The sequence below is a fragment of the Homo sapiens genome, chromosome 15, assembly GCF_000001405.40.
Source record: "Homo sapiens chromosome 15, GRCh38.p14 Primary Assembly".
NCBI classification, from domain to species: Eukaryota; Metazoa; Chordata; class Mammalia; order Primates; family Hominidae; genus Homo; species Homo sapiens.
The window spans coordinates 23,007,793-23,033,619 of NC_000015.10; the positions used below are offsets into that span (position 1 = coordinate 23,007,793).

The window sequence follows — 25,827 nt, forward strand, 5'->3', positions numbered from 1 at the left end:
TAGGAGGCACCCACGGGGAGCATAGGGATGAGTGGTGGAAGTCACTGCTGGTGGTCTGAGGTCACCCTGGTGAGGGTCAAGTCCGTTTTGGTGGAAGGGAGTGAGGCTGAGAGACACAGAGGTCATTGGGGAGTTCTGAGCCAGTTCTGAGAGGTCAGGGGCATTCTCTAGGAGGCAGGACTGAAAAACCTCATGTGTGGGAGCTCAGGGAGAGGAAGCACTGACTCCAGCCATGTGAAGGAGGCCATCAGACCCTGACAGGTCGTATGGTGGCAACTTTTTTCTTTTTTTATAGGGACGAGGTCCCACTATGTTGCCCAGGCTGGTTGCAAACTCCTAAGCTCAAGCAATCCTCCCACCTTGGCCTCCCAAAGTGCTAGGATTACTGGCATGAGCCACTGCATCTGGCCATATGGTGGCATCTCAACGTCTTTTGTTGTTTAGCAGGAGAGTCACATAGCTAGCCTCTGCCTCAATTTTTTCTTTTTTTTTAAATGGAGTCTCGTTCTTGTCGCCCAGGCTGGAGTGCAGTGGCATGATCTTGGCTCACTGCAACCTCTGCCTCCCAGGTTCAAGCGATTCTCCTGCTTCAGCCTCCCAAATAGCCAGGATTACAGGCGCCTGCCACCATGCTTTTTGTATTTTTAGTAGAGACAGAGTTTCACCATGTTGGCCAGGCTGGTCTCGAACTCCTGACCTCAGGTGATCCACCGCCTCTGCCTCCCAAAGTGCTGGCATTACAGGTGTGAGCCACCGTGCCTGGCCTCCATTTTCTAATAAGTAAAATAATATTAGTAAAACTCATAGGAATAGTGAGGATAAAATAATATGTGTAATTCATAGAAGACTTACTGGCACATAGTTCATGTTACACTAATTTAAATAAAGGTGGCGTCCATATTTTACCGTGAACTATCTTCAGGATAACGCTGTCCTACTGCTTCTTGGAGTTGGACATTAAGAAAAGACACATTCTGCCATGTTTCCTTTTCTCTTATTTTATCAAAAATTGACGTGTAGAAGTCATACATGGTATCTCCTCCTTCCATTAAGAAAAAATTCCTCATAGCTTGCAAGTATTCTACCAACCTGAATGGAGAGAAAATGAGTGACACTAAGATCTCTGGCATTCGTAAGGCAGGATTCTGGATCAACAACAGGTTTTGTAACCTGTTTTTAGTGGAACAAGTTTACATTCTACATTTACTAAAATTAGAAATATTAACACCTCTTAAACTTGTTCCAATAATAAAAACAGCATAGGTTTTCCTTTCATCATCAGAAAGGTTATCTTCTATAACATTATAGAAAATTGGGCAGTCACAAAAATGTAACAAAAAAAAATCCAAATCCCATCATTTATGGTGGATTTCCATCATTAATATTTAATATCTGGAATGTTTCTTTCCTGTCTTCTCTTCTATGTGTTAAGAAAACCTAGTTCCTACCGTATTATATCTCCTGCTTTTTAATTGCCATAATTTTTTTTTTTTTGAGATGGAGTCTTGCTCTGTCGCCCAGGCTGGAGTGCAGTGGCCCGATCTCAGCTCACTGCAAGCTCTGCCTCCTGGGTTCACGCCATTCTCCTGCCCCAGCCTCCAGAGTAACTGGGACTACAGGCGCCCGGCACCACGCCCGGCGAATTTTTTGTATTTTTAGTAGAGACGGGGTTTCACCGTGTTAGCCAGGATGCTCTCGATCTCCTGATCTCGTGATCCTCCCACCTCAGCCTCCCAAAGTGCTGGGATTACAGGTGTGAGCCACCGTGCTCGGCCTAATTGCCATAATTTTTATGAACTTTACAAAGTTCATATGTGGGTATGTATATGCCATATTTATGGATATGCATAGTTTAAAAAACTAGTCATCTATCACTAAGTAATTTAGTGTTTTTCATTCTGATAACAAACTTTGTAATTTTTCTACAAGCTTTTTCTGTATTTCTTTTGGGAAAGATTCTCAGAAATAAAGAATTAAGTTTCAAAACATAGTTAAGAAAATATTGATGGTCAATTGATTTCTCTTAGAAAATTGTTTACTGTATATCCATTTCCTACTCTAATAAAAATTGAAATAGGTTTTAAAATAATCTCAACTGTTCTTCAAGTACAATCAACTATTTACTACTTCCAAAATTAAATTACTCTTTTACCTGTAATCTTTTTTTAGAGTTTGCATGAGATTTCCACAGCAATCTAGATACTGCTTGTCAATATGAGGATAGAGGCAGGATCTCAGCGTTAATTCAAAAGTCTGGCATGTCACAGATTCCGATGATCTATCCACACATACATCACCACCAGCAAACTTCTCGTGAAAGTCACTCTGCTCCAAATACATCCTTCAAGATAAAAATGTGAGTCTTCTTTTTATGAGCTGCTGTCAACAGAACTCTCTTAAATCAAAACCCTGAAGTTCCATTTTTACCTTTAGTCTTGAAGTTACCAACTATTACAGAAAGAGAAAAATCTTTCTCCCAAAAATATCCTTTGAGTGAACCAGTCTCTTGAAGTTGCCACTGACTTAGGGTCAGGTACTAGAGCTGGTCTTTCTAGTGATTAGGGCTGGACACAGCAAATGCTGGCCATTAGACAACCGGGAACTGTGTGGGTATTAATGACTTACTCTAATGGACTAAGTGCCTAAAAGCAGCTTAAGCCCAGGACATATTATATGCCAGTGGGGACCCTGACTCAATGGGTGTCCAGGGCCCACTCATGGCCCAGAGTTTCAGCATCTTCTGGGTAAATGATGACATTTCCAGGGGCCCGAGGGCACAGACAAAAGTTGTACCACATGGTGGCAGGGCCAAGTCTGCAGACTTCCACAAACGACATGGAATCCAAACTATACACCTGAAGTAGGTGAGCACAACATCTTGTATTCTGCTTGTTATAAAGGATAGGCATGGCATGGTGGCTCACACCTGTAATCCCAGCACTTTGGGAGGCCGAGGTGGGCAGATCACCTGAGGTCAGGAGTTCGAGGCAAGCCTGGCCAACAGGAGGAAACCCCGTCTCTACAAAAAATACAAAAATTAGCGGGGCATGGTGGCACATGCCTCTAGTCCCAGGTAGCTGGGAGGCTGAGGTAGGAAAATTGCTTAACCTGGGAGGCAGAGGTTGCAGCAGTCAGCCAAGATCACACCACTACACTCCAGCCTGGGTGACAGACTGAGGCTCCATCTCAAACAAACAAAAAAAAAAAAGGAAAAAGAAAAAAGAAAGGATAGCCTACAAGAGTTTTTGTTTTTAGCCCTACCTGCCAGAAATAAACAGTTAGCAAACATTGCACAAATGATGCCATTTCAATTACTGATAACCTTGCAGGTGTGTCTCACCTTGCAAAGTTAATGGCAAGCAGTGGATCATGAACATCATCCAGTTCAAGATGGCTTTCAGCAATGGACTGCATCTTCATCAGGTTCTCCTTGGTTGCCTGTTGCTCAGTAAGAACCTGTGGAGTGGAATCTTCTCCATGTCGAAGACGGGACTGTACAGATTCCAGAAAGAGAGTGTATAAACTTTTTCTTTCTGCATCTGAAACATAAAGAAATATGTAAGGTGAACTAAGTTCTGTTTAATCATATTAAGTAACATTCTGTTTAATCATATTAACATTAACAATATATTAAGTAACAAAATCTATATATTTATATATAAATATTAAATATATGTAAATATTAAATATATATATTTATATATAGTAACAAAATAATATATATTTTTTGAGATGGAGTTTTGCTCTTGTTGCCCAGGCTGGAGCGCAATGGCGCCATCTTGGCTCACTGCAACCTCCGCCTCCCGGGTTCAAACAATTCTCCTGCCTCAGCCTCCCAAGTAGCTGGGATTACAGGCATGTGCCACCACGCCCGGCTAATTTTATATATTTGTTTTTTAGTACAGACGGGGTTTCACCATGTTGGTCAGGCTGGTCTCAAACTCCTGAGCTTAAGTGATCCACCCGCCTCAGCCTCCCAAAGTGCTGGGATTACAGGCGTGAGCCACTGTGCCTGGCCCAAGAAATATTAAATAATATCATGTCCGGGTGCAGTGGCTCATGCCTGTAATCCCAGCACTTTGGGAGGCTGAGGCGGGTGGATCACTTAAGCTCAGGAGTTTGAGACCAGCCTGGGCAACATGGTGAAACCTCAGCTCTACAAAAAAATTAGCTGAGTGCAGTGGAATGTGCCTGTGGTCCCAAGCTACTTGGGAGGCTGAGGCACGAGAACTGCGTGAGCACTGGCAGGTGAAGGTTGCAATGCGCTGAGATCACGCCACTGCACTCCAGTCCAGTTTGGGCAATAGGAGTGAAACCTGACTCAAAAAAAAAAAAAAAAAAAGAGTAAGATCCTAATCAGCACACTTGAAATTTATTACAATACTGCATAACACTATGGTAACCCTGATAGGAGTCGCAGTCTCATTGGAAAAAACACTTCTGACAGTGGCCCTGGGAAGCTCACTACATAAGAAGGAAATATTCCACAAAGTGAAAATAAGTATTGCATCTACTTATTTCAAGTAGATACAATAATATAATTAACATAACATTGAGATGATTGAGATGTATAAATAAGGTCACATCTTTATCTTCCAAGCCTTTTTAGTCAGTTGATAAAACTTTTTTTTTTGACATGGAGTCTCACTCTGTCACCAGGCTGGAGTGCAGTGGCATGATCTCGGCTCACTGCAATCTCTGACTCCCTGGTTGAAGCGATTATCTTGCCTCAGCCTCCTGAGTAGTGGGGAATTACAGGCCCATGCCATCATGCCCAGCTAATTTTTGTATTTTTAGTAGAGATGGGGTTTTACCACGTTGACCAGGATGGTATCGATCTCCTGACCTCGTGATCTGCCTGCCTCAGCCTCCCAAAGTGCTGGGATTACAGCATAAAACTTTGAATATATTAAATTGCATCATTTTCTTGAAATTTATGATCGAGTCTGAACTGCTCATAAGAAATTCTTATCAGCCATGGTTCACGGCCCTCAAGGGCTAAACGCTGCATTGCATTAAGAAATGCCAGAAGGGCTGGTTGTGGTGGCTCACGCTTGTAATCCCAGCACTTTAAGAGGCGGGTGGATCAGCTGAGGTCAGGAGTTCAAGACCAGCTTGGCCAACATGGTGAAACCCCATCTCTACTAAAAACACAAAAAATTAGCCGGGCGTAGTGGCTCACATCTATAGTCCCAGCTACTTGGGAAGCTGAGGCATGAGAAATCACTTGAACCTGTGAGGCAGAAGTTGCAGTGAGCCGAGATCATGCCACTGCACTCCAGTCGCCAGCAAGGTGGCTGCCTGGAGACGTCTGGTGTTCCTCTCCCAACAGCAAGAGAGGACCAAAGCAACGAATCAACAGTTAAGATCCGACTGGAGGCTGGGGGTGGTGACTCACACCTGTAATCCCAACACTTCAGGAGGCCGAGGCGGGCGGATCATGAGGTCAGGGGATCGAGACCATACTGGCTAGTATGGTAAAACCCCGTCTCTACTAAAAATACAAAAAAATTAGCCGGGCACGGTGGTGTGCGCCTGTAGTCCCAGCTGCTGGGGAGGCTGAGGCAGGAGAGAACCCAGGAGGCGAAGTTCGCAGTGAGCCGAGATCGCGCCGCTGCACTCCAGCCTGGGCGACAGGGAAAGACTCCGTCTCAAAAAAAAAAGATCCGACTGGAGTTGAAGGGCGAGTGCTGGAGTGCAGAGGGGGAATGTGACACAGTGTTGGTGACTGGAGGCCCAGGAGGGCAGTGTGGAGGCTTCCAGCCTCTGCAGCTTCGCAGAACAGGCTGGTCTGGAGTCAAGAAGGACTTCCCATTGTAGGGTAAGGGTAAGCAGAAGAAACCCACCAGCCCCCACAAACACCTACAGTCATTACTACAGGAGGATTCCACAGTTCCCACGAGCTCTGAGCCCAGTTTGGAGAGCTGCTGGGAATTCACGCAGCTGCCTTGCCCCGGGTTAGGGGCACAAGGTGTGCCTTCCCCACCCACCCCTTTGAGCCAAGCTGTTGCAGCATGGCACCATCTTCAGACCAGAGCCACCTCTGGAGCACGCCCTCCTCTGGGCCAGTAGCTGCTGCACCTCTCCTGCACCCCAGCCACTGGGGCTCCATCCTCATTCCACCAAGGCCACAGGGATGGCTGAACACCACAACCCCAGCTATGTGGAGCCTGGGCCCAGGATCGACTGGTGATTCTGGTCCTGCACAGCAGAAAAACCAGCCCCTGCCACTGCACTTTCAGACAGAGGAACAGTCTGGCAGCCCCAACAGACCAAACCCATCTTTGAGCTGGCCAAATTGCTGTGCCATCTCTAGAGGGTGGGAACAGACCCCTGAGCTTCCTACCAGCTGACATGCCTCCAGGCTGGTGAAGCAGTTACAGACCTTTGCCCAGGAACTGAGAAACAGCCCCACAGCATCAACCCCTTGCAGACAGGCCCGTGGCCTACCCAGTGGCCCTGGGTCAGCATTCAGGGTCTGAGAAACAGTTTCAGAGGCTGCCCTGGCAGGCATGTACCTAGGCTTCTTGAGCGGCCTTGCACGGCATCTTTGGTTGGAGAAGAAGCCCCATAGGCAGCGCCTGGGAGTCACAGGCCAACAGAGCGGCCACAGGCCTGCATACTGGGCCTGCCAAACAGCCCTGTGGTCTGCCCTTGGTGGGCATGTTCTGAGCCAGCTGGCACCCATATCCCAAACCTGAGAAAGAGCCTTGAAGACCACCCCCAGTAATCACACCCTCATGCCAGCCAAGCAGCCTTCCACCCACATGCTGGGCCTCAGAAGCAGCCTCATGGGCTGCCACTGGCAGATACATACCTAGGACGGCCAACAAGCCATGTGACCATGTCCCAGGACTGAGAAAGAGCCCCTTGAACTGTGCAGGCAGACATGCACCCAGGCTAGCAAAGCAGCCTTGTACCCACATCCTGGGCCTAAGAAACAGCCTTATAGGTTACCCCCAGCAAACATACTCCCAGGCGAGCAAAGAAGCCTGTGCTCATGTCCAAGGCTTGAGAAATGACCCTGAGGGCTGTTCTCATGGAGCCCCTGGCCAGAAAACCAGTTTTGTGCCTACATCCTAGGCCTGAGAAACAGCCCCTTGGGCCATTGCTGGCAGGCAAATAAACCTATAGGCTGGCCAAGCAACCACATGCTCATGTTCCTGGCCAGAGTAACAGCCTGTGGTCCCAAACCCTGAGCCAGACCCCACCTTGGCCAAACCACTGTGTACATGCATGTACCCCTAATCTGAGAAACAGTCCAGCAAGCCCATCCCAGCAAAGCTGTGCTACTGTTTGTTTTTTGTTTTGGGACAGAGTCTTGCTTTGTTGCCCAGGTTGGAGTACAGTGGTATAATCTTGGCTCACTGCAAACCTCCGCCTTCCGGGTTCCAGTGATTCTTGTGCCTCAGCCTCCCAAGCAGCTGGGATTATAGGCATGCGCCACCACATCTAGCTAATTTTTATATTTTGGGTAGAGACAGGGTTTCACCATGTTGGCCAGGCTGGTCTCAAACTCCTGGCCTCAAGTAATCCACCTGCCTTGGCCTCCGAAAGTGCTGGGATTGGCTGGGCGTGATGGCTCACGCCTGCAATCCCAATACTTTGGGAGGCCGAGGCGGGTGGATTGCTTGAGGCTAGGAGTTTGAGATCAGCCTCACCAACATGGTAAAACCCGATCGCTACTAAAAATACAAAAATTAGCCAGGCGTGGTGGCACATGCCTGTAATCCCATCTACTTGAGAGACTGAGGCAAGAGAATGACTTGAACCCAGGAGGCAGAGTTTGCAGTGAGCCGAGATCATGCCACTGCACTCCAGCCTAGGTAATAGAGCAAGACTGTCTCAAAAAAGAAAGTGCTGGGATTATAGGCGTGAGCCACCACGCCCAGCCAACTGTGCCACTGTTGCCACAAACCCCCTCACTGTAGGCCACTGAGGCACTTGCAAACATCACTAAAGTGGATTACAACTGAAGAAAGTACATGGAGACTATACTACTGCATTTGTCCAGAACCAAGGTGAATGCATCCCACTGAACCCACACTCCAAGACCCATTCATATGAATAACTCTTTACAAAACGTACTCCATAAAATTGGAAAAGGTGACTTTCCCACCAGATGTGTAGAAATCAATGTAGAAATACATCAAACATGAAAAAGCAAAGAAACATGACACCTCCCAAGAAAACCAATAATTCTCTAGCAAGAGACTACAATGATATAGGAAATGCCGGAAAAATAATTCAGAATTAAAATCTTAAGGAAACTCGGTGAGATACAAGAGAACTCGGTGAGATACAAGACAGTACAAATAAACACTCAACAAAATCAGGAAAAGAATGATTTGAATGAGAAATTCAACAGAAACAGATGTTTAACAAACAAATTTTACAGTGAAAGAATTCAATGAATGAGGCCAGGCACGGTGGCTCACGCCTGTAATCCCAGCACTCTGGGAGGCCAAGGCGGGCAGATCACTTGAGGTCAGGAGTTCGAGATCAGCCTGGCCAACATGGTGAAACCTCGTCTCTACTAAAAACACAAAAAATCAGCCGGGTGTGGTGGCGGGTGCCTATAATCCCAGCTGCTCAGGAGGCTGAAGCAGGAGAATCACTTGAGCCAGGGAGGCAGAGCTTGCAGTGAGCCCAGATTGCACCACTGCACTCCAGCCTGGGTGATGGGAGTAAAACTCTGTCTCAGGAAAAAAAAAAAAAAAAGGCAAATGATCTGAACAGACATTTCTCCAAAGAAGTAATACAAATGGCCAAGAAATAGATGAAAAAATGCTCAGCATCACTAATTATTAGGGAAAATGCAAATCAAAACCACAATGAGGTATCATTTCACCCCAGTCAGGATGGTTATTTATCACGAAGACAAAAAATAAATGCTGGTGAGGATGTGGAGAAAAGGAAACTCTTACACAATGTTGGTGGGAACATAAACTAGTACAGACACCATGGAGAACAGTTTGGCGGTTCCTCAAAAAACTACAAATAGAACTACTATATGATATAGCAATCCCACTGGTGGGCATTTATCCAAAGGAAAGGAAATCAGGATATCAAAGAGACATCCGCACCCCCATGTTTACTGCAGCACTATTCACACAGCCAAGACATGGAATCAACCTAGGTGCCCAACAACAGATGAATGGGTAAAAAAATTGTGAGATATATATATATATATATGTATATATCTTGAAGATAAAAGAGTGAATCCTGTTGTTTGCAGCAACACTGATGGAAATGGTGGACATTAAGTGAAATAAGCCAGGAACAGAAAGTTAAACACTGCATGTTCTCACTCATCTGGTAGCTAAAAAATGTTGATCTCGTATTAGTAAAAAGTAGAACAGGATACCAGATGCTGGATTTTGTAGGGGGAAGGGAGAAAGAGGAAGATATTTGTTAAAGGATACAAATAGCTAGCTGGAAGGAATAAGTTCTAGTGCTCTGTATCACTATGGGATGACTATAGTTAATAATGTATTATAGAGTTGCACATAGCAAAGAAGAGGATACTGAATGTCCCCAACATAAAGAAGTAGTAAATGTTTGAGATGATGGAAGTGCTAATTATCCTGATCTGATCACTATATATGTATCAAAACATCACTATGTACCCCATGAATATGTACAATTATTATGTCAATTTATAAAAATAATAAAAGAAAAGAAATGGCAGGGGATTACTTTTTAAAGTTCCAGTCCTAAGGAATCCAGAGTGAGGAAAATGCATGTGGAACTTATCGTCACTGCCTTTTCAAACACAGCACTAAAAGTTTTCAATGAAGACAATCTTTTAAAAAATCAAGAGCAGCATGGTTACTAATTCAACCATGACGATAATTGCCACCGAAATAAGAGGGTTTGATGACTTGCAAACTACAAAATAATTAGGTATCAGGATGACAAGAGCGAGTAGGGTCAGGTGTCCCAACACCAAGAGAGACACAGGAAGACGGAACAAGTACCTCTGGCTCCTGCCTGGCAGGTGGTGCTCTCCGCACACTGCAGGTTCTTCAGCAGCTGCATCGACTTGCCAGCCATTATGATCTGCTTCAGGACAGGTTTGAGGAAGGACACCATGGTGTGCTGCCTGCTGGAGGGCCCCTGGTCACTGCCGGAACTCGCACTAGCGTTATCACTCATTTTTTCTTCATTTTCTGTCTTTTCTGATACGCTATATAACGTGTAAGTTGCATACCAGAAGTCTCTGTGATTAACTGGAACATTTTTGTTTCTAAAGAGATTCAAAAGAATTTTAAACTCTTATTTCTCTTTCTTAAAAACAGCATACTTGTTCTAGTTTGTTGTCCAGACATTATAAAACATAGTATTAATTATTAGTAAACTGAAGCAAACTTTAGGCAAAATGGGACAGTTTTAATCTCATCTCAGTTTAAAGAGAAAAGTGAATAAATACTTTGAATAGTGTAAGTAAAATTTAAGTAGAAATAGTTTCCTGAATTGGAATTATTTAAAATATGACTAATTTGGTCCTCTTTAGAAGAAGAATAAAAGTTTATCCATTTACCATCTGCTGTGAAACTAATTTGCAGACTTCTCTATCATTTTCCCTACAAAGATTCTTAACTGGACTACTTTTAACAATAAAATGATGGTCAATCATCACCCTAGAAGAACAGTCAGAGTCCTATTTTTCACAAAAATTCTCATGTGAGATTGATGAATCAGAACACAGTGACAGATATGAGATTGAGTTGAAGGAAGGGTCAGTTCACTTATGTGAGCATTGCATACATATTGCTACCCTTCCAGAACACTAAAGACTTAAAGTTATCCTTCCTGATGAGCTCAATGGATAGCTATCAATAGAAACCATATATCTAAATATACCGCATAATTTAAAATTGGGCTAAAAGAGTACAAATAGCTCTACATTGTTTATATGATTCTATTCAGAAAAATCAATTAACTGAAGGGAAATTGTCATAAATGGATTAAGATTTTCCTTGTTTTGTAAAATATACTAAGGTAAAAGAAATCAGTAGATAATTCAGAGAAATAAATATATTAGAGGCATACTCTGTAATATTTCTGTATCTCTTTACTGATAATTTACAATGGAAATAGCTGAAACCATATGATATCATCTAAACTCATTTTATGGGAAGCAGTGTGTACTAGCTAGCCATAAATATACTACCATCCAAAAATATAATTTGCTTAAGAAAAGTTGCGGACTGACAAAACTTGGACAAAGATATTTCTAATCAGCTGGTATTACTGATGCCTTCCGTAAAAATGAGATAGAACTTGCCTATGATGACGACAAGTTCTGTGATGTGAACTGTGCTTTCTCAGTACTGTCTGAAACTAACGAAAGCATTTGATTTTCATGGGGAGGAAACTGGTGATGCCAGCCCCCAGTGACCTTGTGCTCTGCTGCAGCTCACCTCTGGATGATGAACTCCCTGGCGCCATCCCACAGGTGCCCGTGCACGATCCACTCGTCCACCGTCTGCAGGTAAGGCCGCACCGTTTCCACCCAGAGAGAGAAAAGGAGGGAGACCTGAGGCAGAGAGTGTGCACGGTCAGCTCTCAGGGTTCCCTGGTCACTAGGATAAAAGGAGGTTTAAACATTTCTGAAATGCCTTTAAAAAAGTGATCGGATTTCTATGTTTTTTGGGGCACAAAGAAATTAAAAATCCAAAAACATACACTATAAAATCCTTATGAAAAACTCACCTAAATGCCGGGCGTGGTGGCTCACGCCTGTGATCCCAGCACTTTGGGAGACCGAGGTGGGCGGATCACCTGAGGTAAGAAATCGAGACCATCCTGGCCAACATGGTGAAACCCCCTCTCTACTAAAAATACAAAAATTAGCTGGGCATGGTGACACGCGCCTGTAGTCCTGGCTACTTGGGAGGCTGAGGGAGGAGAATTGCTTGAATCTGGCAGGTGGAGGCTGCAATGAGCCAAGATCGTGCCACTACACTCCAGCCTGGCAACAGAGTGACACTGTCTCAAAACAAAAAGAAAAAAAAAAGAAAAAAGAAAAACTCACCTAAATATGGGATGATCATATTGTTTGTAGTCCAGACTGGGAAACTTGAGAGTGAAAGTGACACAGAGGCAGCAGGTGTATCCTGAGATAGCCCAGGCAAGCGAACAAGGTTTCCCTATCTAAATCCTATTACTAGCAAAGCATCCATTAAGGATGAGGAAATTGGCTGGGCATGGTGGCTCACGCCTGTAACCCCAGCACTTTGGGAGGCTGAGGTGGGCAGATCACAAGGGCAGGAGTTTGAGACCAGCCTGGCCAATATGGTGAAACCCCATCTCTATTAAAAAAAAATACAGCTGGGTGTGGTGGCTCATGCCTGTAATCCCAGCACTTTGGAAGGCCGAGGTAGGCGGATCAGGAGGTCAGGAGCTCGAGACCAGCCTGGCCAACATGGTGAAACCCCATCTCTATTAAAAATACAAAAATTAGATGGGCATGGTGGTGGGCGCCTGTAATCCCAGGTACTCAGGAGGCTAAGGCAGGAGAATAGTTTGAACCCAGGAGGCAGAGGTTGCAGTGAGCCAAGATCATGACACTGCACTCCAGCCTGGGCGACAGGGCGAGACTCCATCTCAAACAAAAAACAAAAAAAAACCCCAAAAAATTAGCCGGGCATGGTGATGTGCGCCTGTAGTCCCAGCTACTCAGGGGGCTGAGGCAGAAGAATCACTTGAACCTGGGAGGTGGAGGTTGCAGTGAGCCAAGATCGTGCGACTGCACTCCAGCCTGGCAACAGAGCAAGACTACGTCTCAAAAAAAAAAAAAAAAAAAAAAGAAAAAAAGAAATATGGTATTAAATTGGTGTGAAAAAAAGTTATACCAACAAACTAGAAAATACACCTAATGTACATACCCAACTAAGACTGTAGCATTCTAAATTACAGCCTCTAGTTAGATTTTTATTTTTAAATCTATATATTGTTTGAGACAGGGTCTTGCTCTGTTACCCAAGCTGGAGTGCAGTGGCACAAACATGGCTCACTGCAGCCTTGACCTTCCACACTCAAGCCATCTTCCTGCCTTAGCCTCTCGAGTACCTGGGACCATAGGCATGTGCCTCCAGAGCTGGCTACCTTTTTTGAGACAGAGTCTTGCTCTGTTGCCCAGGCTGGAGTGTAGTGGTGCGATCTCGGCTCACTGCATCCTCCCGGGTTCAAGCAATTCTCCTGCCTCAGCCTCCTGAGTAGCTGGGATGACAGGTGTTCGCCACCACACTAGGCTAATGTTTGTATTTTTAGTAGAGACGGGGTTTCACCATGTTGGCCAGGCTGGTCTCGAATTCCTGGTGTCAGCACACCTGGCTACTTTAAAAATTTTTTGTAGAGACAGGGTCTCAGTATGTTGCCCGGGCTGGTCTCAAATTCCTGGGCTCAAGTGATCCTCTCACCTCAGACTCATATGTAGCTGGGACTACAGGCGTGAGCCACTATGCATGGCCTAGATTTGTATTTTTTAAAATACAATATAAAATATATAACATAAAATTTATCTTAACTGTATATTTTAAAAAATTTTAATTTAACTAATTTTTTAAAGACAGAGTCTTACTATGTTGCCCAGGCAAGTCTCAAACTCCTGGGCTCAATCAATCCTCCTGCCTCGGCCTCCCAAAGTGTTGGGATTACAGGCACGAGCCACTGTGCCTGACCCTCAGCATTTTTAAGTTCAGAGGTTTTAAGTACATTCATATCGTTGTGACAAATCTCCAGAACTTTTTCATGTTATAAAACTGAAACTCTGTACCCATTAAACAACAGCTCCCCATTCCCCAGCCCTTGGTAACCAGCATTCCACTTTGTTTCTGTGGATGTGTCTACTTCAGCTATCTCATGTCATGTTAGTTACATGTTAGTGTTTATGTAAGAAAGCGTTATTGTAAATATCTATACACATCAGGTAGGTACTTCTCACAGCTTGCCTTGTCCTTGCCTCATCCTTCTGAGGATCTTGGCAATTAGAGCTGAAAAGCCAGTTTCCTACAGCCTTAAATTTGGAAGTTAATTTAAAAACTCTGAACTGTCTGACGAGTCATCATTCAAGTATCAACAAAGAACTACCATCAGCTGTCTATCACTCCTCTGCTGTGCAGCATGGAGTCACACACTTTAGGCAGAAGTCTCACTTACGGTTTGCTCAGAGGCTTCTCCAACATTGTCATATTCAAGAATGGCCTTGTACAGGGTGTTAAGCAGGTGAGAGGCCCGGACGACATTTCGAGTATCAGGTGGAACTTCTGCTACTCCAGTACTAAACACTTTGTGCAGAACCTTGAGCTGAGACAATCGAGGTGCCAACTTGTCCACCACTATTGCAAGAGTTATTGTAGTATCTGCAAATATCAATAAATCAAACTCAACAGCAAGGAAAAATACATGCATCTAAAATGTGACATAAATGCTGGCAAATCATCAGGCTTATGGACAGGCAGGGCAAAATGGAGGACGGTGGATTTTAATCTCATACCACAAGGACCTAATTTCCCTAAGGAAGAACTCCTGCAAGTCACAGAGAAAAAGACAACTCAGCAGAAAAATAATGTATAAAGGAACTGACAGTTCATAAAAAAGGAATGATGAGTGATTCTAAAACATACAGAAAGTCACTTGACCTTACTTATAATAAAAGAACGCAAATTAAAATTACACTAGGTAAAACAAAACACCTCCCAATGGGCTAATGTTACAGAGAGGGGTGAGGGAGGCTGTGCCTACAAAGGGCTGCACAAGCAAGCTCCTGGGAGGCGATGGCACAGCTGTGATCTGAACATGGAAGTGGCTATGTGGAGCTAGACATGTGATAAACTATACATGAATATACCACACCCACCCCTGTTCAAAGCAAGTTCCTGCGACACTGGTGAAACCATGTCAGGTCTGCAGTTTGGCTAATGTGCTGTGTCAATGTCAGTTTCCCAGTTTTGACCATGTACTGTCACTATGTAAGGTTTTACCACTGGGGGAAGCAAGGTCATGGGAACACAGGGCCTCTCTGTACTATTTTTTGTGGTAGTTCAAAATGAAATTTAAGGGGAAAAAAGCTACATGGGTTACCATTTTACAGCTGTCATACTGGTGAAGACCAAAACGTCTGGTAACACACAGATGGCAAGAAGTGTGAGGAAACAGGTATTCATCTACTTGGTTCACAACAGTAAAAATGTATTTACCTATACCTCCCCATAAAGTGGCAAAACTTAGGAAAATCACACATGACCCAGCAATTCCATTTATAAGAACCTACCCCACATGGTCAGATGCAGTATAATCCCAGCTTATGCCCGTAATCCCAGCATTTTGGGAGGCCAAGGTGGTCAACATGGTGAAAGCCTGTCTCTATTGAAAATACAAAAATTAGCTGGGGATGGTGGCAGGTGCCTGTAATCAGTTACTCGGGAGGCTGAGGCAGGAGGATGGCGTGAACCCGGGAGGCGGAGCTTGCAGTAAGCAGAGATTGAGCCACTGCACTCCAGCCTAGGTAACAGAGCGAGACTCCGTCTCAAATGAAAAAAAAAAAAAAAGAACCTACCCTACAGATAACTCACTGCCTGTGTACGATAACGGATATGTAGAAGTGATTATCACTGCAGCACTACTGGCAATAGCAAAAGCCTGGGAACAACCTAAATCCATTAAGGGGACTGGGCTATGACACGACCATATGATGAAACACTCAATTTGTAAAAAGGAAAACAGAAGCTCTTCATATATGTATGGTATTATCCTCAAAATTTAAACTGGAAAAATTTGAAGAGAGCAGTGTAATGACTGCTAGGTATGCGTATATGTATATGCACTGCTCATGTATGTTGAAACTCTTTCTGGAAGGATGCGTAAGAAGCCAAGGACCTGGCTGTCTCTGGAGAGGAGAACTGACTGGCTGGGGTACTGGTGCAGGAAGAATAATTTAGATTTTTCATTCTAAATCTTCTGTAGTTTTTTGATTTTTAGAGATATGAATGGCTTAAAAATATAAATTTAAAATAATTTTAAAAGAAGCATTCACGAGAACTACTTATCTGCTAGGCAACTTTCAAATCTTATATAATAAAAACTCTAAGTGGCATTCAAATTATGAGTTACGTGTAGTATGAGTAAAGATGAAGAACATTTAATACCATTATTGATGATGCACTTCTCAATTTCTGCAAGTTCCTCTTTGAAACTAATGAAATATTTGTACAGGGCCCACATGAAAGCCTGGTAGGTTCTAAAGGGAGCTTCAGTTGACTTCTTAGGAACAGACCCACTTCCAGGCAGCATGCTCTCAGAACTGTGTCCCATGACTTCATCAATGAACTCCTGGAGTCGAAACACAACCTGGCCATATGCTGCTATTTGTTCCAGCACAGATCGTAAACAGCTCTACAACACAAGCAAACTGCAATTATTCAAAGGTGGTCTTCTGTAAACATTCAAATTCATTTCCCTCTCGCTGTAAAATACTTCTTTTGCAATTGTTTTAAACAGTATGTTTAGTAGAAGACAAAGTAATAATATGATTAATATTTATAATTTTATACACAAAGGAAAAAGTGAACAATAATTTCAACAGACTAGAGAATTATGGCTTATATTTTTAAAAACATACATAAGTAAATGTACTTAAAGCAAAACAAAATTACAGTATATAACTTTCACAATACAGAATGACAAATAAAAAGCAGAAAATGCAAATTGAAATTAAATATGTTCCAAACAATATTAAGGAATCCTCTACGTACTATAAAGATGCACAACTCAATTTTTCTTTTTGGATATTAAATATTTTTAAGTTAGCTTTTTTTTGCATGTGAGGAAGCAAGAACGAGTTCAATAGCAATTTTAATATTGTAAAATGTTCTAAAATTATATTACTAGTTTACATAAATCCTATTTCTTAAATTACCATAAATACAAATAACTTACATGTGTTAAATGAGTTACTATAATATTGTTTCTCACAGTTACCTTCCCATCTATCAACTGAAATATAAAGAGCTTTTTCACTCCTGAAAGTAACCTGAAATGAGATTAAAAAAAGACGAGTGTACTTTAAGTCTAGAAAAATATTCATGACAGTATGCCCAGGACATTTTTTTTTTTTTTTGACAGGGACTCACTTTGTCACCCACCCAGGCTGGAGTGCAGCAGCATGATCACAGCTCACTGGAGCCACAACCTCCTGGGTTCAAGTGATTCTGCAGCCTCAGCCTCTCCAGCAGTTGGGACTACAGGTGCATGTCACCATGCCTGGCTAATTTTTGCATTTTTTGTAGATACGGGGTTTCACCATGTTGCCCAGGCTGGTCTCGAACTCCTGAGCTCAAGTGATCCACCTGCCTTGGCCTCCCACAGCACTGGGATTACAGGTGTGAACCACCATGCCCCACCTCAGGAAATTTTTATTAAATATTCAGAATTAGGGGCAAAAAGGTCAGATAATAAGAAAATGGAAGACATCAATCTTTTCATCTGATTACCCTAAGACTCAAGATATTTCAACATCATCTTAGAGAAGTCTAAAACATGTTGTCAAAGCATCTCCCCTATATACTTGACGACCCAAAGAGATCTTCCTATTTCTAAGAATGCGAGCATGTCAATATCATACTTTATGGTGAGAGCACCAGGACTTGGAATTTCAGTAGTAACAGCACCATGTGCCGCATTAGATTCCTGGCTTCCAGGTACGGGCACAGGCCCTCATTGATATACTCCACCTATTAAGAATAGTCAGTAGCTACCGGCGCGGTGGCTCACGCCTGTAATCCCAGCACTTTGGGAGGCCAAGGTGGGTGGATCATGAGGTCAGGAGATCTAGACCATCCTGGCTAACATGGTGAAACCCCGTCTCTACTAAAAAAGTAAAAATTAGCCGGGCTTGGTGGTGGGTTCCTGTAGTCCCAGCTACTCGGGAGGCTGAGGCAGGAGAATGGCGTGAACCCAGGAGGTGAAGCTTGCAGTGAGCTGAGATAGAGCTACTGCACTCCAGCCTGAGCAACAGAGTGAGACTCCGTCTCAAAAAAAAAAAAAAAAAATCAGTAGCAAATCTTGCTTTGAACTCAGGTGTTAAAGAAGAGATGGGCTAACCTAAGTAAATCATATGCTAAATTATTTAAAATGAAAATGAAGTAATTATATCAAACTCTCTCAATCTCCACAGTCAAATCTGGTCCGAACTTCACACCTAATGGACCTTTTCTAGTTTGCATGTGAAAATGCTTGAAAAGTTTCCTTTAATAAAAGTTTTTGCTTCTCAGTAATCAAGTCTCATAAAGACTATTAATTAAATGAACATTTCTTACCATAGGGTTTCCCGAATAACCTGAGTCTCAGTAACCAAAACCCTGTCATCTGGAACATACAATGGATCACTGCTGTACAAGTGTTGGTCCCTATGAGACAGCAAACATAAATGTCAATAGAAAGGTTTCTAAGTAAGTAAATAACTTATCTCAAAGAATATCTGCAATTTAGTGCTAACTTAAGTAGCAATCAACTAACAAGTATACATAATAAATGGCTTAAATGCCCCCTATATTTTCATGTCAATCAGAATACTCTGAGAAACACTTTCAGAACAATTACAATTGTTACGTTTATTGCTGATTTAGGCAAATGTTTACAACTATGTAATGTTGTTTTCTGGAAAACAAGATGTGTATTTTTGCAGTAAGTATACCAAAACAGAAATCAAATAATGCCCTAATATATACCAATCCATTTACACTGAAATTAACAACAAAAAATGGAAACAGAGACTATAATTAAATAATACTATAATTTAATGATTTTCAATAACAAATAATTAAAAACTATTCAACTAAAATTTTCAACACCAGCCAGGTGTGCTGGCTCACGCCTGTAATTCCAGCACTTTGGGAGGCCGAGGCAGGTGGATCACTTGAGGACAGGAGTTCAAGACCAGCCTGGCCAACATGGTAAAACCCCATCTCCGCTAAAAATATAAAAATTAGCTGGGCATGGTGGCATGCACCTATAATCTCAGCTACTTGGGAGGCTGAAGGACGACAATTGCTGGAACCCGGGAGGCAGATGTTACAGTGAGCCATGATTACGCCACTGCACTCCAGCCAGGGTGACAGAGCGAGACTTTGTCTCCCCCTGCAAAAAAAAGTAAAATAAAATAAAAAATAAAAAATTAGTTGAGTGAGGTCTAGACTGCAGTGAGCTGAGATCTGACCACTGCACTGCAGTCTGGGCAACGAAGAGTGAGAATCTGTCTCCAAAAAAAAAAGAATTGTCAAAACAAAAACAAGTTTAAATTTCAGGGAAGAACTTAAGTCACAAATCAAAGCCAAACGTTTAAACATCAAAGTTTCTTCTATCATCACATTAAATGAAAACTTTAGCTTCTTACCAGACAGCAGCTAAATTAGAGTGCAAATGTAAACTATGAGGAAACTGGGAGGGCCTGGCTGTCCAGTACTGATGGACCACATGATGTTCCAGCCAGCTTCGGTCATCTGGCTCATCTGCTTGAAAGAAATGTAATCAGTTTGAGTTAACAACAACAAAATACTGGGTCACAATACCTGGACTTACAGCTCCATTCAAACGTATAGTTGAAAATGGCTTTTTAAAAATAACAGCTACCTAACATTTATGTATATATGATTATTTTAAACCACATATATCTGCTGGGTTCTATGGCTCACACATATAATCCCAGCCCTTTGGGAAGCCAGGGTGGGATGACCACTTGAATCCAGGAGTTCAAGACCAGCCTGGGCAACAAAGTATGACCCCCCATCTCCACAAAAAATACAAAAAAATTAGCCAGGGATGGTGGCATGTGCTTGTTCTCGGGAGGCTGACACGAGAGGGGACTGGTTGAGCCAAGAGGTTGAGGCTGCAGTGATCTGAGATCATGCCACTACGCTCCAGCCTGGGTGACACAGTAAGACCCTATCTCAAAAAACAAAGTAAAATAAAATAAAACCACACATATAGAAACGCATACTAAATTTAATTAAATGTAACTGACTAGAAAGTAAAAAAAAAAAAAATTGCCACATACATAAAAAGATATAAATGGTATATGTTAATTGTCCAGTAACCATTAAGGAAACTGAAATGGTAACTGAAGACCTTCCCAACCACTACGGAAGTCTCAGGACTGGTGCTAAATTTTGAAGGATTAGATAACCTCTATCTTATACAAGTTGTTTGAAAAAGCAGAAAAAGAGAAAGCCACCTAACATTTTATGAGGCTAATGTAACAGTGATGCTTTAAACTAGACAAAGACAGGATACATGTAATTCATCAAAGAATAAAGATGAAAAATCCTACATTAAAAAAGAGCTAACCTGTTGGGCTCGGTGGCTCACACCTGCAATCCCAGCCTGGGCTGGTCTCAAACATAGTGAGACCTCATCTCTACAAAAAAGTAACAAACTTAGCTGGGTGTGGTGGCATGCACTGGAAGCCCCAGCTTCTTAGGAGGCTGAGGTGGGAGGATACTTTGAGCCCAGGAGGTTGAGGCTGGAGTGAGCTGTGATCACGCTACTGCACTCCAGCCTGGGTGACAGAGCAGGGCCCGGTCTTAAAAAAAAAAAAAAAAAAAAAGCAAATCCAAAATTGAATCCGATCTAAAAATGTACTAAAAAATAACATGATCAAGCAAGTTTAGGTGAAGAATTCAAGGATAATTCAACATCAGAAAATCTATCGATGCATTATTAGGATAAAAGAGAAAAGTTATGAGATTATCTCACGGATAAATAGTAGCATTTAATAAAAATTCAACATTTATTCATAATTAAAGACTTCTAGAAAAAAAAAGTAATAGAAGGAAATTGTCTTAATTTGATAAAGGCCACATACCCTGAACTGATACCAAACAACCATCACACTTAACGGAGGAGTTTCAGGTATAACCCCCCTTAGGATGAGACCTAGTCATCCAGGAAGCCCACTCCCATGAGCTGTTGCTTCTGCTACGGACTAGAGGGTTGGGCTGCTGGGCCAGAAAAGAGATTTGATCATGTCACAGAGAAGATACAGGCATAAGAACTAGCAGGAAGAATAAAACCATCAATATTCGCAGATGATACTAATCATCTATATAAGAAACCAAATGAATCAACAAACTATTATGAGAATTCAGTAAAAATGCTGCATATACGGACAACTTACAGAAAGCAATATTATTTCTTCTACATCAGGAATAAACAAAAGAGGCAACATTCACAAAAATAAAAACTATAACATATGTAGAAATTAACAAATGAACACTCAAGATGTTTAAAAAAAATTTCCAAACTCTAGTAAAAGATAAAAAATTACGATAAATGTAGCTATTATTATGTTAAGGCAATCAAGCCTCCCCAAATTAGATCTATAAATTCTCTGCAATCCCAATAAAAACTCCAGCTGGATTATTTTTTATTTATTTATTTTTTTTGAGATAAAGTTTTGCTCTTGTTGCCCAGGCTGGAGTGCAATGGTGTGATCTTGGCTCTCTGCAACCTCTACCTGCTGGGTTCAAGCGATTCTTCTGCTTCAGCCTCCCAGGTAGCTGGGATTACAGGCATGCGCCACTATGCCCAGCTAATTTTGTATTTTTAGTAGACGTGGGGTTTCACCATGTTGGTCAGGCTGGTCTTGAACTCCTGACCTCAAGTGATCCACCCAGCTCGGCCTCCCAAAGTGCTGCGATTACAGGCGTAAGCCACTGCACCTGGCCTTTTTTTTCTTTAAAGTTTACCACCCTGCTTCCAAAATGTCTATAGAAGAATAAAAGTTCACAAATAGCTAAGCCAATTTTGAAAAAGAGCAGTGATTCACATCTGTAATCCCCGCACGTTGGGAGGCAGAGGCAGGTGGACGAGTTGAGGTCAGGAATTTGAGACCAGCCTGGCCAACATGGTGAAACCCTGTCTCTACTAAAAATACAAAAATTAGCTGAGTGTGGTACACGCCTGTAACCCCAGCTACTCGGGAAACTGAGGCAGGAGAATTGTTTGAACCTGGGAGATGGAGTTTGCAGTGAGGTGAGATCATGCTACTGTACCATAGCCTGGGCGACAGAGTGAGACTCCGTCTCAAAAAAAGGGGGTGGGGGGGAAGAGCAAAGTGGGCTGGGCATGGTGGCTCACATCTGTAATCCCAGCACTTTGGGACGCAGAGGCGGAGTAATTGCTTGAGTCTAGGAGTTTGAGACTAGCCTGGGCAACATGGTGAAACCCTGTGTCTACAAAAAATACAAAAATTAACTGGGTATGGTGGCACTCACCTGTAGTTCCAGCTACTCAGGAGGCTGAGGTGGGAGGATCGCTTGAGGCCAGGAGGCAGAGGTTGCAGTGAGCTAAGATTGTGCCACTGCACTCTAGCCTGGGAAACAGAGTGAGACCCTTGTCTCCAAAAAAAAAGAAAAGGAGCCAAGTGATTTTCCTGCCTCAGCCTCCCAAGTAGCTGAAAGGAAACTTGCCATCTATGTATTAAGACATAATACTACAAAGCCACACAAATAAAAAAGTCTGTCTGTTTCTGGGTCACACTGACACCAAGTGCACAGATTAGAAAGTCCGGAATAAATGCAGCTGTCCCTCAGTATCCAATGGGGACTGGTTGCAGGAATGCTGCAGACGCCAAAATCTGCAGGTGCTCAAGTCCCTGATATAAAATGGCATAGTATTTGCATATAACCTATGCATATCCTCCCTTATACTTTTTTATTTTAATTTTTTTTTGAGACAGGGTCTCGCTCTGTTGCCAGAGCTGGAGTGCAGTGGCACAATCTTAGCAAAATCAGTCCTTCTCCAATTAAAAAAAAAAAAAAAAAAGGAAACATTTACAGCTGAGAAAGTTCTCAGAAGTATAGGAAAAAAATTACAAAATTACACTCTACATGTATGAATTCAACATTAATTCTATAGTACTACTACTTAAGCATCATAGAAAACATTACTAATGGTTTTAAAAATTGGTTTTATAAGGATGGTAGAGCTTAGCCAATACCTTGATTACATGGAACTGATCTCAAAGTTTGCCTTTCCTTCTAGGGAATTTGTCTATTAGAAAATGCGAGCACCTCATAACACATAATACCTTTCCAACTGATACAAGGATCCAGTTTTCTGTTTTGATCTTGTTCTTCTAACGGTGTCCTGTCTACCTGAATTCCAGAGTCCTCTCTGCTTAAGGGCTGTTGATCATTTTCCTCTTCACTTTCTTCAGACCAATTCTGATTTAAAAAAGAGATACACTTTAGCTTTACAGAGTATAACACTTAAAGCTATTTACATTAAAAGACTAAGAAAACTTTGAAGAAAAGCAAAAACTTTGAAGCAACATGGAACAGAAAAACAAATTTTTTTTTCCTAAATCTCTTGGAAGTGCCTATTATAGGAATGGAAATATGATTACTACTTTTTCTTTTTTTCTATAATGTTGAAATAATAAGGAATGGAATTATTTTTTGTGGCAAAAAGTCCCAAGATCACAGGTCCTTAAGGGATACTTGTACTCACCCCTTTTAACTTCTTTTTTTTTTTTTGAGACAGAGTCTCTCGCTTTGTCATCCAGGTTGGAGTGCAATAGCACGATCTCAGCTCATTGCAACCTCCACCTCCTGTGTTCAAGAGATTCTCGTGCCTGAGCCTCCTGAGTAGCTGGGATTACAGGCGTGTACCACCACACCCAGCTAATTTTTTGTATTCTTAGTTGACGGGGTTTCACTATGTTGCCCAGGCTGCTCTCGAACTCCTCTGGCCTCAAGTGATCCGCCTACCTCAGCCTCCCACAATGCTGGGATTACAGTTGTGAGCCACCAAGCCCAGACAACTTTTTTAGAATTTATTTTTTAAAAATAGACACAGGATCTCGCTATGTTGCCCAGGCTGGTCTCAAATTCCTAGGCTCAAGCAATCCTCCTGCCTCTCGAAAGTGAGCAGGAGATTACAGATGTGAGCCACCATGCCCGGCCCCTTTTAACTTCTTACCACTAATGATTTGGTGCGAAATCCTAATCAGTCTTCCATAATAAATGACTCTAGCTTAGTGAAGAGTGTTCCTGTTTTAGCTAAGTTGACCTAGGGTGGAAAGACCCATGAAAATCATCTATATCACCTGGCGTGTATTTCAATTTTCAATAGCAAAACTACTACCACTTACTGGTGTGTCCATGTACGGACCAATGTCCATTTCTTCATCTTCCATCAAGTATTTTCCCCAGTCGAAATCATCTTTCTTTTCTAAAATGTAACAGAAGAACTTCATTGGCTTTATTATATCTATCTTTGAAAAAAAACCTCAAAACTAAGGAAAAAAGACTAACAAGACTCAAAATACTCAGGAAATAAAAATTTAAAAATATTGAAACATTTAATAAATTGATATCCTAAAACATTTTACATTTTAATTAACTCATTCTCAAAGGTGAGTGTTCTCTTTCTACAGCTGAAGGTAGTTTGTAAAGTTAGAACGAATACAGTCATCCCTCAATATCTGAGGGGAATTGGTTCCAGGAGGTACACCACCCTCCGCAATGCTCAAGGCTGACAGAAAATGGTGTAGTATGTGCACATAACCTAAATACATCCTGCTGTATACTTTAAATAATCTCTAGATTACTTATAATACCTAATATCATGTAAATGCTATGTAAATAGTTTTTTAAAAGATTGTATTATTTTAGACTGTTGTATTATTATTTATTTATTTTGAATATTTTTGATCTGTAGTTGATTGAATCTGTGGGTCTGGAACCTGAGAATATAGAGGGCTGACAGCATTTTAAATAAAATTTTACAATTGTGATAGCATCTAAAGCAATAGAAATACTTTAGTTTCACAGATTTTTAGAAGTTTCAATAAAACTCAGTGTTTAGCAACTAAGTAATCAAACAATTTCTCTTTTACTTCTCATATGTTAAGGAATCTAGTAACATACCCACTTCTTTATTTCTTGGTGTCTCCACATAACTGCTGTTTGAAGGAGAGTCTGACAGACACAGAAGAAGTGACAGTATGGAATAATGTGCATCTGTCTTTAAAACAAAAAAAAGAACATAAATCTCTGAGGTTGGGAAATGCTTTCTACACCAGATTGAGTAAAGATAACTCCATGACAGTTATGTCCCCAATTTTTTTCCTGGTTTGAGAAAACATGAGTTATACCTAAATAATCCTTAACCTTCAAACTTCTTCATAGCTCAAATGCATACACATAAGGAACCTCAAAGCCATCTGAAATCTGAGTTCTATATTTCTAACAAGTATAAGATCTGAGTGGATGACAGCTTTTTATTTCTAAAACGACGGAAATGTCTTTAGAGTATAACATTATGGTTAAAAATTATTCTCCTGTGGCAATATGTATCATGAAGGTTAAACATGCCTGATAGTTTAACTAAGATGTATCATATTTTATTTAACCAGTCCCCTATTAATGAAATTTAGATTTTTTCCCAATCTTTTGCTATCACAAACTTATGTTGTTTCATATTTTTTTTCCCCCCGAGATGGATTTTCGCTCTGTCGCCCAGGCTGGAGTGCAATAGTGCAATCTCAGCTCACCGCAACCTCAGCCTCCCCTGGTTCAAGTGATTCTCCTGTCTCAGCCTCCCGAGTAGCTGGGATTACAGGTACGCACCACCACGCCCGGGTAACTTTTGTATTTTTAGTAGAGATGGGGTTTCACCATGTTGGCCAGGATGGTCTCCAACTCCTGACCTCATGATCCGCCCACCTTGGCCTCCCAAAGTACTGGGATTACAGGCATGGGCCACCACACTTGGCTGTTGTTTCATAATTATAAGAGTTTATCTGTATAATAAATTCCT

The 25,827-nt window shown here is 42.0% G+C and overlaps 1 protein-coding gene across 19 annotated transcripts in view, besides 1 other annotated feature; it reads right to left on the reverse strand.

Annotated features, from left to right (window-relative positions):
• TUBGCP5 (tubulin gamma complex component 5) overlaps positions 1-25,827 on the reverse strand; it is a 56,545-nt gene that overhangs the window by 24,768 nt on the left and 5,950 nt on the right. For 8 of the 19 annotated variants that reach the window (XR_007064420.1, NM_001354372.2, XM_047432130.1 and 5 more), the window contains exons 4-16: positions 24,936-25,032; positions 24,158-24,237; positions 23,093-23,228; positions 19,400-19,517; positions 18,324-18,413; positions 16,945-17,038; positions 16,155-16,401; positions 14,167-14,369; positions 11,427-11,542; positions 9,981-10,249; positions 3,341-3,539; positions 2,153-2,341; positions 907-1,089 (exon numbers count right to left, since the gene is read on the reverse strand). Coding sequence is in view for 17 of the 19 variants with exons in the window: in NM_001354372.2 (NP_001341301.1) it covers positions 907-1,089; positions 2,153-2,341; positions 3,341-3,539; positions 9,981-10,249; positions 11,427-11,542; positions 14,167-14,369; positions 16,155-16,401; positions 16,945-17,038; positions 18,324-18,413; positions 19,400-19,517; positions 23,093-23,228; positions 24,158-24,237; positions 24,936-25,032 (2,021 nt within the window). In the remaining 2 variants the exon portion in view is untranslated. Of the gene's footprint in view, positions 1-906; positions 1,090-2,152; positions 2,342-3,340; positions 3,540-9,980; positions 10,250-11,426; positions 11,589-14,166; positions 14,370-16,154; positions 16,402-16,944; positions 17,039-18,323; positions 18,414-19,399; positions 19,518-23,092; positions 23,229-24,157; positions 24,238-24,935; positions 25,033-25,827 lie in introns of those variants that run through there. The other 11 variants (NR_148875.2, NM_001354373.2, XM_017021895.2 and 8 more) reach the window with 5 other exon arrangements.
• Positions 5,271-6,181: an enhancer, noted in NCBI's record as "H3K4me1 hESC enhancer chr15:22859095-22860005 (GRCh37/hg19 assembly coordinates)". NCBI's record gives its function as "activates a minimal SCP1, AML or CMV promoter by ChIP-STARR-seq in primed H9 embryonic stem cells {active_cell/tissue: H9 hESC(primed)}" and the evidence as "EXISTENCE:reporter gene assay evidence [ECO:0000049][PMID:30033119]".